The following is a 14739-nucleotide window of genomic DNA, read 5'->3' as shown; positions in this document are numbered from 1 at the left end:
ATTAAATTAGATTTCTCTCTGTGTATAAAAATCTATTCCAGTTAAAGTCTTAAATTTGAAAGTGAGTCATTTTAGATTTTATTTTAATTTTAGAAGACAATATAGGAGAATATCTATATGACCTTTGGGTGGAAGAAAATTTTATAACCAAGACACAGAAGTGCTTTCATAACATAAATTTGTATCTATTTAACATTTCATAAAATATACTATTTTGCATTTGCTAGAATGACAATAATTTAAAAGCCTGCTGATATCAAGTTTTGCTAAGAATGTAGAATAAAACAACTCACATGTCTGTTGGTGACTATTTACGTTTTATAATCAATAGAATTTTCTTTTAAATTGTCCATGTGCCTGCCTTACAATTAAATAATTCCTTTCCTGGATTCAAACTTAAAAAATAAATTTATACATGTGCATGAAGAGTCAAGTACAAACGTGTTCATAATTTGTAATATTTAAGAGAGAATCAAAAACAAAAAAAGACAATAAATATCACCAAAGAGGGAATAACTCAAATATCCATTGGCAAGAGTGAATTAATACACAGCAGTACAAATGAACAAATGAATCAGATAGAGTTATATAAGTCAGCATGATTGAATAGCACAACTCGTACAATATCATCCCACCTATACACAATACTAAAAATATATTATTTAGAAATATGTAGATTATTTAAAAAAACTATCAAGGAAAGAAAGGGAATAATAAATACCAGACTCAGGGTAGTGATCACAGTTAGGAAATAGGGTAGGGAATGGGATCAGAAAAGCAAGGGCATTCTTAAGGTATTGGTAATGTAATTTTTTTTAAAGCTAAATGGTGGTTGTGTGGATGTTTATTTTATTTACTTTTTACACTTACTCATTTGTTATAAATCATTTGTTATAAATATTCAGATTGGAGCACCTGTATTTTAGTTTCATCCCATATATTTCATTAAAGTGTTGATTTTCACCAAAAACCTGAGCAAAGTTTTGTCCTGTTAAAAATCATGCTAAAATATTTCTTATTCAGTATTTATTTAATATTTTAGATGAACAATGATCTGTCTTAGATTTAGCAACTTTATCTTTTAGTCAAAGTTATCTATTATGGACAACTTAAAAACAGTAAATTTTCTTTCCTTGTGGATTGAAAACAATTTAGTATCATCACACTGGAAATGGAATCTAAAATTGGAGGGGCTTCTAGTGCAGCCTTTGGGTCAAATTTCTTCTCTCTCACATTGGCTCATTCTTGTAGCCCTGAATCACACATGCCCTTGTGCTAGCAAAAGTACTACCAACCCTGTCCTTTACCACGCCCACCAATGAGATTTTGACTCTAAAATCCCCCAAATCAATGGATTTGCAACCACATCATATGGATTTGTGGCTTTGCCTGTCCAATTACTAGCTATGTGAATTATCAGAATTTATGTCAGGTGGTGATATGGTTTGGCTGTGTCCCCATCCAAATCTCAACTTGAATTGTATCTCCCAGAATTCCCATGTGTTGTGGGAGGGACCTAGGGGGAGGTAACTGAATCATAGGGGCTGTCTTCCCCAGGCTATTTTCGTGATAGTGAATAAGGCTCACGAGATCTGATAGGTTTATCAGGGGTTTCCACTTTTGCTTCTTCCTCATTTTTCTCTTGCCATCCATGTAAGAAGTACCTTTCGCCTCCCACCATGATTCTGAGGCCTCCACAGCCATGTGGAGCTAGCTGTAAGTCCAATTAAACCTCTTTTTGTTGCCAGTTTCGAGTGTGTCTTCATCAGCAGCATGAAAATGAACTAATACAGGTTGCATGATAGTGAATTATATGTGTAAATTTGACTAAAAAGATGTCCAGATACCTGATTAAAACATTATTTTGGGGTGTATCTATGAGAGTGTTTCCAGAGGAGATTAACATGCAAATCAATAGGTTGTGTCAAATGAATAGTCCTTCTTAATGTAGGTGGACTCAATAGAACAAAAAAGTGGAGGAAGAGAGAACTTGCTGGCTCTCTGCCTGACTGCTTGAGCTGGAACATTGATCTTTTCCTACTCTCATTGTTTCTGTTCTCAGGCCTTAGTCTCAAACTGGAATCTATGCCACTGGGTCTCTGGCTCTCAGGCCTTTGAACTACACATTTGTAGTTCCCTTCTACTACATTTCTGGGTCTCCACCTTGCAGACAGCAGACTGTGTAATTTCTCAGACTCCGCAATTGCATGAGCCAATACCCTATATTAAATCTCATTATGTATTGATACATCCTATTGATTCTGTTTTGGTGGAGAACCTTAATTAATACAGTTGGGGTTGAGGAGGATGGAAACTCAGCAAGCAGTAGGAGAAGGGAACCTTAACAAATGTGTGCTAGAAGCCTACACTGACCCTGTGGTAGGCGGAACAATGACTCCCAAAGATGTCCCTGTGCTGATCCATGAAACCTGTGAATATGTCACCTAACATGCCAAAATAGATTTAGTAGATGTGATTAAGGGTCTTGAATTGGGAAGATTATCATGAATTATCAGCTGGGTTTAACATAATCACAATAGTTCACATAAAAGTGAGTGTCAGGATTAGAGAAAGAGGTATGATGACAGAGGTGAGGCCAGAGTGACACCACTGTTGGAAGGGAGCCTGAGCCAAGGAATAAAGACAGCCTCTAGAAGCTGGCAAAAGCAAGAAACAGATTTTCCTCTAGAGCCATAAAAAGGAATGCAGTCCTGCCAACATCATGGTTTTAGCCACGTAAGAGACACTTTTTGAACTTCCAACCTCCAGCACTGTGAAATAATAAATTTATGTTGCATTAAGCCACTAAGTTCGTGATAATTTGTTATAACAGCAATAGGAAATACAGACACCCCTTGTGTGTCCCTGAAAATCCTCATAGACTCCACCTTTTGCCCCAGCTGCTATGGTAGTGACCCGTTCTGACTAGTTTTGTGCAAATGCAACCAGCTGTGCCTTGCCCCTCATCTGTCTTGCAGCAGGCTTCTTTGCATAACTCGACAGATACACACAACCTGGAAATGCAGGGGAGGTAATGCCCTGGGATTATTCTTAACCTATGGGGGATGGTTGCTGAAGAATAAATATTTTTCTCCTTTTTTTCCTTAGGCAAAGAGTTCTAAGATGCATTTCACAGCACTCCACAGAAGGAAGGTTCAGAGCCAATCATCTGCACCAGTGCCCAACTTAAAAACATCCTTGTATCAGTTTTCCCTTATTTCCTGTTCTCCTCCCTAAACCTTCAGTCCTGTTCCTGGCAATCACTTCCAGAATAAACCATATACATGCCTCAGATTCTGATCTCAGAGGATCCCAGACTAATACAGAGATACACTATGCTGATTGCTTAACCCGCATTTTCTCATTTAATTGAAACATATACGTGGTAAGGTATTTATTCATACCTGCATGATTTTGTAGATAAACCTTAGAGAAATTAATACTTTTCAGAAGGCAATTAAAGTAACACAGCAAGCAATTGATAAAACCTGGATTCGCCAAGTTAAACTGGTCTGGTTTCAAAACCTGTATTGTTTCCTAACATACCACCTAAATTCTCAAATGGTATTGGAAGGGGTTAAATGAGATTATAAATGTAAAATTCTTGGTATAGTTAATTCTCAAAAATAGGCCTTCAATCTATAGAATCCATTTGTAGAACTATCTTCAGGAAGGAAAAATACATCACCCTCCACCCCACCCTCAAAGAAACATGGAAAATTTAAACTAAGACTTCAAATCTTGAGCTCTGCACATCTTAGAATATTTTGTTTCTATGAAAAAGAAGCTTTGGAGAATGTGTATCAGTCTGAAACACTGTAGTGTGAGCACAGAAATCAGCCCATCACATTATGCCCCAAATGCTGAAGTACGGCTGAATCTGATTGCCCTGCATTTTTAAGTACTGCAAAATTCTGGGACTTGGGATCATCTGTTACTACAGACTTGTCATATTCCACTGAAATAAAACATATAGTCTAATTTGCAAAGTTCTCGTGTGGAAAGAGTCCTAAAATGTATATAACCTCTGTCCCAGCAATTCCATTAGGAATTTATCCAATCCAAAATCTAAAATGCAGAAGATCTACATATTGAATGCTTATGGCAGCATTCTTTAAAATTATGAAAATTGAAAGCAACCAAAATCCTCAAAAACAGACTAATGGCTAAGTAGTATAACCATACTATGAAATGTGGTAATTGAATATTCAAATTTGTGTTGTATAAAAAATTAATAATGGTATAACATTTGGCTATAAAATAGAATGAATTCAATTGTATTTTTTAAACCAGTACATCTGCATATTTGTGAACCTAAAAGATAAGACGGTAAATATTTAACTGTATTTTTCTTTAATTGTTGGGGCTGTGAATTATTTTAATTTTCTTAATGCTTTTTAATCTTCTCTGAAAATTTTATAATAATCTCTAATAATAATTTATAGCAAAAAAACCCAAAATTTTAAAGGGTATTCTTTTTGTATTTTTATCAAGAATAAAAATATATATCAATGTCATTTCTTCAAGAATCCTAAAAAGTGTTATTACACCATTTAACACAGGTACCTGAGTCATGTGTATTGTTAAAGGAGAGTGGAAGGGAAGGGAGGTGATATGAGTAGGCCTAGTGCTTGGCATGATCAAGCAAATATAGACCCTGCAGGGGTATGTAACTTCCATATGCTAATCCTACAGGAGGACTCCGATCGGACCTGTTTGCAGCACATGCCCACTTTTAAACTCTATTAGTCTGTTTTCTGTTTTAAAGGACCTGAAACTGGGCAGTTTATAAAGAAAAGAAATTTATTTCCTACAGTTATGGAGGCTGGGAAGTCCAAGTTTGAGGGTATGCATCTGTCGAGAGCCTTCTTGCTCGTGGGAACTCTGTGGCATCCTGATGCAGCACAGGGCATCACATGGAGATGGGGCTAAGAATGCTAATGTGCTAGCTCAGGTCTCTTTTATTTTTATGAAGCTACCAGTTTCCTTTCCATGATAACCCATTCATCTATTAACCCATTAATCCATTCACCCATGAATGATTAATTCATTCATGAAGACAGAGCCCTCATCATTTAATCATGTCTTAAAGCCTTCCCTCCAATACTGTAGTATTGGGTATTAAGTTTCAACGTGAATTTTGGAGGGGATATTTAAACCAAAGCATAGACCAATGTCCATGTCCAAAACACTAGGCTATTTCGGCTCTCTATGGGTTACATTACTCTCTCCAAGGCAGTGGCAAGAGTGGAGGCCACCTGTTGAGAGAAGATGGTTGTGCTGGGAGTTACAATCAAAGTTCCACTAAGAAAAAAAGCCCTTTATAAGTCGACTCCTGCCTATTTCTAAAATTTTTTCTGGTACACACCTTTTTTTTTCTGTACACACATTTTGTGTCACATAGAACTATAGGCAATATTCTGAAATAATATACGCTGGTTTACAATCAGCGCTTTCTTCAAATTGGAAACACCAAGAAATATCCACCTCTCTAAAATATAAAATTTCTGTTTTTTCATTCCGCTACCTCTAAGAAGTTTTTCCTGACTCCTCCTGCTGATAGATGGCACACACTTTCCCACTATACTTTCCCACTATATATATACTTTCCCACTATAGTGTGAGCCCCTGACAGCAGGGGGAGTTGTATCATTTTATGTTTATATCCCCAGCTCCATGCAAGGCCTTTCATGTATAAAAAGCATTTATTTGAGTTCATTGTAGATTCTGGATATTAGCCCTTTGTCAGATAAGTAGGTTGCAAAAATTTTCTCCCATTATGTATGTAGCCTGTTCACTCTGTTGGTGGTTTCTTTTGCTGTGCAGAAGCTCTTTAGTTTAAGTAGATCCCATTTGTCAATTTTGGCTTTTGTTGCCATTGCTTTTGGTGTTTTAGACATGAAGTCCTTGCCCATGCCTATGTCCTGAATGGTATTGCCTAGGATTTCTTCTAGGGTTTTTATGGTTTTAGGCCTAACCTGTAAATCTCTAATCCATCTTAAATTAATTTTTGTATAAAGTGTAAGGAAGGGATCCAGTTTCAGTTTTCTACATATGGCTAACCAGTTTCCCCAGCATCATTTATTAAATAGGGAATCCTTTCCCCATTCCTTGTTTTTGTCAGGTTTGTCAAAGATCAGATAGTGGTAGATATGCGACATTATTTCTGAGGGCTCTGTTCTGTTCCATCGATCTATATCTCTGTTTTGGTACCAGTACCATGATGTTTTGGTTCCTGTAGCCTTGTAGTATAGTTTGAAGTCATGTAGCGTGATGCCTCCAGCTTTGTTCTTTTGGCTTAGGATTGACTTGGCGATGCGGGCTCTTTTTTGGTTCCATATGAACTTTAAAGTAGTTTTTTCCAATTCTGTGAAGAAAGTCATTGGTGGCTTGATGGGGATGGCATTGAATCTATAAATCACCTTGGGCAGTATGGCCATTTTCACGGTATTGATTCTTCCTACCCATGAGCATGGAATGTTCTTCCATTTGTTTGTATCCTCTTTTACTTCATTGAGCAGTGGTTTGTAGTTCTCCTTGAAGAGGTCCTTCATGTCCCTTGTAAGTTTGATTCCTAGGTATTTTATTCTCTTTGAAGCAATTGTGAATGGGAGTTCACTCATGATTTGGCTCTCTGTTCATCTGTTATTGGTGTATAAGAATGCTTGTGATTTTTGCACATTGATTTTGTATCCTGAGATTTGCTGAAGTTGCTTATCAGCTTAAGGAGATTTTGGGCTGACACAATGGGGTTTTCTAGATATACAATGATGTCATCTGCAAACAGGGACAATTTGACTTCCTCTTTTCCTAATTGAATGCCCTTTATTTCCTTCTCCTGCCTGATTGCCCTGGCCAGAACTTCCAACACTATGTTGAATAGGAGTGGTGAGAGAGGGCATCCCTGTCTTGTGCCAGTTTTCAAAGGGAATACTTCCAGTTTTTGTCCATTCAGTATGATATTGGCTGTGGGTTTGTCATAGATAGCTCTTATTATTTTGAGATATGTCCCAACGATACCTAATTTATTGAGAGTTTTCAGCATGAAGCGTTGTTGAATTTTGTCAAAGGGCTTTTCTACACATATTGTGATAATCATGTGGTTTTTGTCTTTTGTTCTATTTATATGCTGGATTACGTTTGCCGATTTTTGTATGTTGAACCAGCCTTGCATCCCTGGGATGAAGCCCACTTGATCATGGTGGATAAGCTTTTTGATGTGTTGCTGGATTTGGTTTGCCAGTATTTTATTGAGGATTTTTGCATCAATGTTCATCAAGGATATTGGTCTAAAATTCTCTTTTTTTGTTGTGTCTCTGCCAGGCTTTGGTATCAGGATGATGCTGGCCTCATGAAATGAGTTAGGGAGGATTCCCTCTTTTTCTATTGATTGGAATAGTTTCAGAAGGAATGGTACCAGCTCCTCCTTGTACCTCTGGCAGAATTCGGCTATGAATCCATCTGGTCCTGGACTTTTTTTGGTTGGTAAGCTATTAATTATTGCCTCAATTTCAGAGCCTGTTATTGGTCTATTCAGAGATTCAACTTCTTCCTGGTTTAGTCTTGGGAGAGTGTATGTGTTGAGGAATTTATCCACTACTTCTGGATTTTCTAGTTTATTTGCGTAGAGGTGTTTATAGTATTCTCTGATGGTAGTTTGTATTTCTGTGGGATTGCTGGTGATATCCCCTTTGTCATTTTTTATTGCGTCTATTTGATTCTTCTCTCTTTTCTTCTTTATTAGCCTTGCTAGCTGTCTATCAATTTTGTTGATCTTTTCAAAGAACCAGCTCCTGGATTCATTGATTTTTTTGAAGGGTTTTTTGTGTCTCTATTTCCTTCAGTTCTGCTCTGATCTTAGTTATTTCTTGCCTTCTGCTAGCTTTTGAATGTGTTTGCTCTTGCTTCTCTAGTTCTTTTAATTGTGATGTTAGGGTGTCAATTTTAGATCTTTCCTGCTTTCTCTTGTGGGCATGTAGTGCTATAAATTTCCCGCTACACACTGCTTTGAATGTGTCCCAGAGATTCTGGTATGTTGTGTCTTTGTTCTCTTGGTTTCAAAGAACATCTTTATTTCTGCCTTCATTTCGTTATGTACCCAGTAGTCATTCAGCAGCAGGTTGTTCAGTTTCCATGTATTTGAGCAGTTTTGAGTGAGTTTCTTAATCCTGAGTTCTAGTTTGATTGCACTGTGGTCTGAGAGACAGTTTGTTATAATTTCTGTTCTTTTACATTTGCTGAGGAGTGCTTTACTTCCAACTATGTGGTCAATTTTGGAATAAGTGCGATGTGGTGCTGAGGAGAATGTGTATTCTGTTGATTTGGGGTGGAGAGTTCTGTAGATGTCTATTAGGTCCCACATAACAATAATGGGTGACTTAAACACCCCACTGTCAACATTAGACAGATCAATGAGACAGAAAGTTAACAAGGATATCCAGGAATTGAACTCAGCTCTGCACCAAGCAGACCTAACAGACATCTACAGAACTCAAGCACTGATCTTAAGAGCAGTTTATGATGAGTTCGTGTCCTTTGTAGGGACATGGATGAAATTGGAAATCATCATTCTTAGTAAACTATCACAAGAACAAAAAACCAAACACCACATATTCTCACTCATAGGTGGGAATTGAACAATGAGATCACATGGACACAGGAAGGGGAACATCACACTCTGGGGACTGTTGTGGGGTGGGGGGAGGGGGGAGGGATAGCATTGGGAGATACACCTAATGCTAGATGACAAGTTAGTGGGTGCAGCACACCAGCATGGCACATGTATACGTATGTAACTAACCTGCACAATGTGCACATGTACCCTAAAACTTAAAGTATAATAATAAAAAAATAAAAAATAAAAAATTAAAAAAATAAAAAAAAAGAAAATGTGGCACATATACACCATGGAATACTATGCAGCCATAAAAAATGATGAGTTCATGTCCTTTGTAGGGACATGGATGAAGCTGGAAACCATCATTCTCAGCAAACTATCGCAAGGACAAAAAACCAAACACTGCATGTTCTCACTCATAGGTGGGAATTGAACAATGAGAACACTGGGACACAGGAAGGGGAACATCACACACGGGGGACTGTTGTGGGGTGGGGGGAGGGGCGAGATATACCTAATGCTGAATGACGAGTTAATGGGTGCAGCACACCAACATGGCACATGTATACATATGTAACAAACCTGCACGTTGTGCACATGTACCCTAAAACTTAAAGTATAATAATAATAAAAAAATAAAAATAAAAAGCATTTAAAAAGTGTGGAATAAATGTTGACTAAACTATCAGTGTTCTAAAAAGATACATGATAGGGAAAAGAAGAAATTTTCAATAAATTAACCTGGACAAAATAGTTACTGACATATAGAGACATTGAATTTCTACCTCATACTTTACAAAACAATCAACTCCAAAATAAATAAAGACTCAAATGTCAAAGCAAACCTTTCAATTTTTTACAGGAAATAACAGATAATGATAGCTTTCTGATCTTGGAGTAAGGAAGGATTTGTAAATAGAGATTCTTAAAAAAGAAAATCCATAAAATAAAAAATTTGATACATTTCATTATAATCAGAACTGTTCATCAAAAGACACCTCAAAGAAAGTATCTGAAGTTGGATTTCCTAGAAGCAGAACCTGAGATGGAGATTTTTGTGCAAGTGATTTATTGAGGAAATGCCCTCAGGAAGAACCTATAGGGAAATGAAAGAAGCAAAACAGGGAGGGGAAGGAGTTGACTAAGGATGTGGTTTCAGCTGGAGACTAGTGTCAGCCAAATCCCATGGAAAACTGTGGGCACATGAATTATACCACAGAGGAAGTATTTCCTGGAGGGAAAGGAGTCAGCCTCTTGTATCTGTGTATTCATCAATTATTGGTTGCAGGCTGAACCCAGGGTAGGACACAAAAACTTTTGGGTGAGGCATGTCCATTTGCCAGGCACAGTTCTTTTGAGAAGGATGTAGTTGTGAATTGGTAACAGTTAACATTCATTTGAAAACAGCATCTACCAGGAGACTCAAAAGACAAGATTCCAACCAGGAAAAGATACTGACAATATATATGACTGACAGAGAGTTTGTATCAAAAATAAAAAGAAGTTCTACAAATAATTTTTAAAAATACATAAGGACGATATCTGAAGATATTCTCAATCTTATTAACAATTGAAGAAATGCAAATCAACACTAAAATGAGATACCATTTTACATCTACATGCTTGATAAAATATTACAATTCTGGCAATAATAATTATTGCAGAGAATGTGGATCATCAGGATCTCTCATACTTTGTTGGTGGGTTTATAAATTGTTATAACCACTTTGTAAAAGCAACTTGGCATTCTCCTGTAAAGTTATACATTCATATAATTTACAACCTGGCAATTACGCTCCCTCAAAATGTTAAATCATTCATGGCAGCATTATTCATAGCAGCAAAAACAAACAGAAAAAACTGAAATGACTCAAATTTGTATAAATAAAACAATGATTAAATAAATACTGGTATATTCATATAATGGAATATTACTCAGGAGTGAAAATCAAGAAACTGCAACTATATCAAAACAGTATGGATACATATCAGTAATATAAAGTTGAATTAAGAAAATCTAGTTCCAGAAGACTCTATGGAATATAATTTTAATACAACATTCAAAACAGGCAAAAATGAACCAAAACTAAACTAACTGTAAAAACAAACAAACAAACAAAGAAATGGTAAACATGCAATTCAAAATACGGATACTTTAGGGTTGGGCAGTAAACCAAGGGTTGGTGAGATGGGAAAAGAGTAGTATAGAGATATAGATAGCTAATGACAATATGTTAGGTATAAGGTTGAATGATGGATTCATGTGTATTAGTCATATCATTCAAATATGAATCCATGCATACACACATAAAATTAGGGATATGCATAAACTATCGATGACTGTGATAAACCTAAGAATAATATTAATCCAATTTCATACACCTGAGCTCTATTTAAGTAAAAGAATAGCTCCAAGGAATAAATTTATGAATGCATGGATGGTCTAAAAATTCCACTTAATTTAATATAGTCCACTAGATTTAAAGTCAAAAAAGGAGAGTTGATTTCCTGTCTTCCATTCATTTCTCATGGATATGGGGCAAGACTTTCTGAGTCTCAGGCTTCTCACCTTCCCTATTTGAAAAATGGCACTAAATACAGCTACTCTTACAATCCTGTGTGGTAATCTTGAAGTTCAAAAGGAGATCACATATGTAAGCTCGCTGTGTAAATTACAGATAGACGTATAGCTAGATATAAATATGTACATATCTTTAGATAAGAGAGATAATGATTGAGGATTGAATAGGTAATAATCGGTAGTCATAACAAAAAATGTTCCTGAATGTGTGCTGTGTGCCAGGCATGGAGCTAGGCACTGTCCAGCTGTGGAAATATATGTGTAGGCTGCTAACTGTAATGAAAATTGATAACATTCATATAGGGATATGATGTCAAAGTGTTGTTGGAACAGTAGTGTGAACTGGAGAAGACTTCACTGGAGATAAAATTGTGATGGTTCTTTAAGGATGAGCAATTTGCCAAGAAAGAAAAGAGGGAGGCTTCCAAGGTAGTTTGAACAGCATGTGACTTAGACAAGTTTAGGAAATGATGAGATTTCGGCATGACAGGCAGAAGACTGCAACCAAATTGATATTCAACTGGCACCAGAGTAGAGAACAGACCTCAAATTCTTGAAAGTAAAGAAATATATTATGCTTGTTATGACTTTTTTAAAAAAAGAATCCATTACATCTAATTTATCCTCAACCAAATCTTTCCCCAAATATTCATAAAGTCCCTTCCTAGAGAATAAGTCAATTACTAAAATGTATTATGCTTTCTGAATCTAACGAGCTATGAAGTTCATTCATAATTAACTTTTGTAAAAAGAAAAATATTTCATGAATACCATTTGTATTATTACTGTGAGATCATTTCCTTTGTACAAAGGAGAATAAACTTCAGAGCTCTATCAGCTCCACCCAATTCATTAAAACTTGTCTTTGATCCATAAGAAACATCCTAAGGTTTTTCCTCACTCAAAATTCTCTACTAAGCTTACTCGTTAAATTATCCCTGGGTCCTATCTTATATTTATTGAACTGTCTGAGAAAAACCACAGTGCCCACATCACTTGGAGACCCTTTATTCATGGCCTTAAAAAATGCCCCAACCACCAACAACGAAGAGATGATTGTATTACTCATTACTACTGTATAAATAGGGCCTTTTAATGTCTCATTTTATTGTAGTCTGGACAATTTTTTAAATATAATAGAATCCTGGTTTTGGGTTGTTACTTTACTTTAAAAGGAAAGTGAAGTGTCCCACTGTCTTTTAGAGAACAGACTAGAATACCATTCAAAGCAATAGTTGCCAAATTTTTAATTCTTCTATTGAAAATTAGGATTAATTTATTTTTTCTCTACTGGCTCAAGATTGCTATTTCCTCTAGATTCAGATAGGTCTACATTGGCAGAGAAAGTAAACAGCTTCTGCAAGAGCACCATATATCATACAGCTAATTTAGGGTCTTTCAGTAAATCGAGGGATTCATTTGGTATCTTGAAAGATCAATGCTACTTAAATGGTAAATAGTAGATGACAGACATCATTCTTTGTACATATTGCCATTACCTTTGGTTCCTCCTTTGTCCATATTCTCATTTCACTTGAAAGTTTTTTGTGGATTATCTCATCTACTCTCATAACTATACTTACCATTTCTAATTCTTTCTGAATACCTGTCAATACCTCTAGCCCCTACCTCTCCATTTGGCTCCAAATCGATTTATCCTAATTTGTATTGTATCTATTTGAATGCCTCCAAAGCATTTAAGTCTTATCATTTTCAAAACTAGACTCATCTATCCTATCCTTCCTCAACTTGCTCTCCAACCCGTATTCCAATATTTACTTATTTGTAACCTCCAAACAAGAAATCTGGGACTATCCTTGACCCAGTCCTTTTAAAATCCAATTTCCAAGTTCAGGGGATGGTTATTCCCTAAATATTTCTAAAATATACTCAATTGTATTTATTCCCATTACCACTTCCTTAATTCTAACCTTTATTATTCCATATCCCTATTACTATATTGCCCTCTTAAATAATTCCCTGCCTGTGTTATTTCCCTCTTCTCATTTTTGCGTCATATGTCTACAAGAATGCACTATCTAAAATGAAAATATAAATAAGTCCTTCACCTGCTTAGAACTTTTTGATGGTGTCACATTGACACTAAGAAAAAGAAATCCAAGAGGTTAGCATGACATAGGCCATCATGGTCTGGGTAGCTACTTCCATAGTCTTAGCTCTTGTTATTCCTCTCTTTATGTCTTAAGATCCAGGCACACTAAACTAGTGGCAAATTTGCTATATTCCTTTGCCTCATGAATGTTCCTCTTACTTGAAACACCCTTCCCCCTCTTTCCATTTGCTATAATTGCCTTTTTTTTTTAAGAGACAGCTCAAGCTTTATCTTATTTTAGATGATTTCCCTTATTCCTGGAAAGAATTTATGATTTCTTCCTTCTCTGTGTTCATCCTCTTTCTTGCACTCTGCCATAGCATCCATCAAACTGATTGTTTTTATTTGTTTACACGTTTATATCCCTCATTTAAGTATCAGCATTTTAAGGACAGAGGCCATGTCTTGTACATCCTGTTCCTACCACTCCAATTAGTGTCCAATCCAGAATAAGAATCTAGTAAATATTAGTTTCACAGTTAAATGGATTTCTTAAAGAAACAAATCAAGAGCCATAGAATATGTAATTTTCTACCCTGTTCTCATTTCAAACCAAGTATTAAATTTTTCCCAGGATGATTGTGTAAATGTCCGCATTCTTTATAGAAAACTCCACCTTTCATCAGCAGAGGTACTGTGTGGCCCTGTGGCCACCACAAGACCATGATGCAACAGGGTAACAGTCCAACATCAATACTGTTTGAAAGACTCAGGCATTTATCTCTGAATTCACTACTTGACCAAGGTCACATCACTAGGAAAGGAAGGAGCGAAGCATCAAATCCAGTCCCATTTGACTTGTGCCAAGCTCACTCAACCCTTTTGTCCAATTTGTCCCCCAACTTGAGTTAAACGGTGGGGCTGCATTTCTTTTCCTGCAGTCATGAAGTCTCTGTTACTAATCTCTTTTGATCATGCATCTTGGTCAAAACAAGCAATAATCTGCAGCCTAAATTCCTTAATAAAGAAATATTTCTCTCAAAGTAGCAGCAAAGTATGCAAGGAAATAGCTTTGCTAAAGCATACATCTAATTTGCATTGCCAAATAGCACATTTCTTCATTTAGTCTAAAACATATGCATTCAGGTTATCCAACAAGGTGGATGGCGATGAGGTGGGGTGGGATGGAGAGTAGTTACATTAACATTTGCATAGCTGAATACATATATCCAGATGATTCTTTTCAAAACAAAGATATAATGTGCTTCAAAATTTAATCAAAATATCTACCACTTGCAAAACAGAAACTCTACAAGCTCTGATATTACTTTTTAAAAATTGCCTTTCATTGAGGTTTTAAGCAAAAAACCCTTAAAGTCAAAGTGATTCAGAACAAATAAATGCATGAAAAAATAACAATAACACAAATAGTCATAATAACAATAGCAATTATTAAAATAATATAAAATAGAGTTTCTTATTGGCCAA

General features: G+C 36.1%; 1 long non-coding RNA gene across 1 annotated transcript in view; it reads left to right on the top strand.

Moving 5' to 3' along the window:
• Window positions 1-4431, top strand: part of LINC01748 (long intergenic non-protein coding RNA 1748) — a 106970-nt gene extending 102539 nt beyond the window's left edge. Inside the window, exon 8 of the long non-coding RNA NR_146508.1 lies at window positions 3109-4431. This is a non-coding gene — a long non-coding RNA (long intergenic non-protein coding RNA 1748). The remainder of the gene's footprint in view (window positions 1-3108) is intronic.
• The last annotated feature ends 10308 nt before the right edge of the window (window positions 4432-14739 follow it).

This window comes from Homo sapiens, chromosome 1, assembly GCF_000001405.40.
Source record: "Homo sapiens chromosome 1, GRCh38.p14 Primary Assembly".
NCBI lineage: Eukaryota > Metazoa > Chordata > Mammalia > Primates > Hominidae > Homo > Homo sapiens.
Note: the sequence above shows the minus strand (reverse complement) of the source record. Positions and strands in the feature narration are given on the sequence as shown.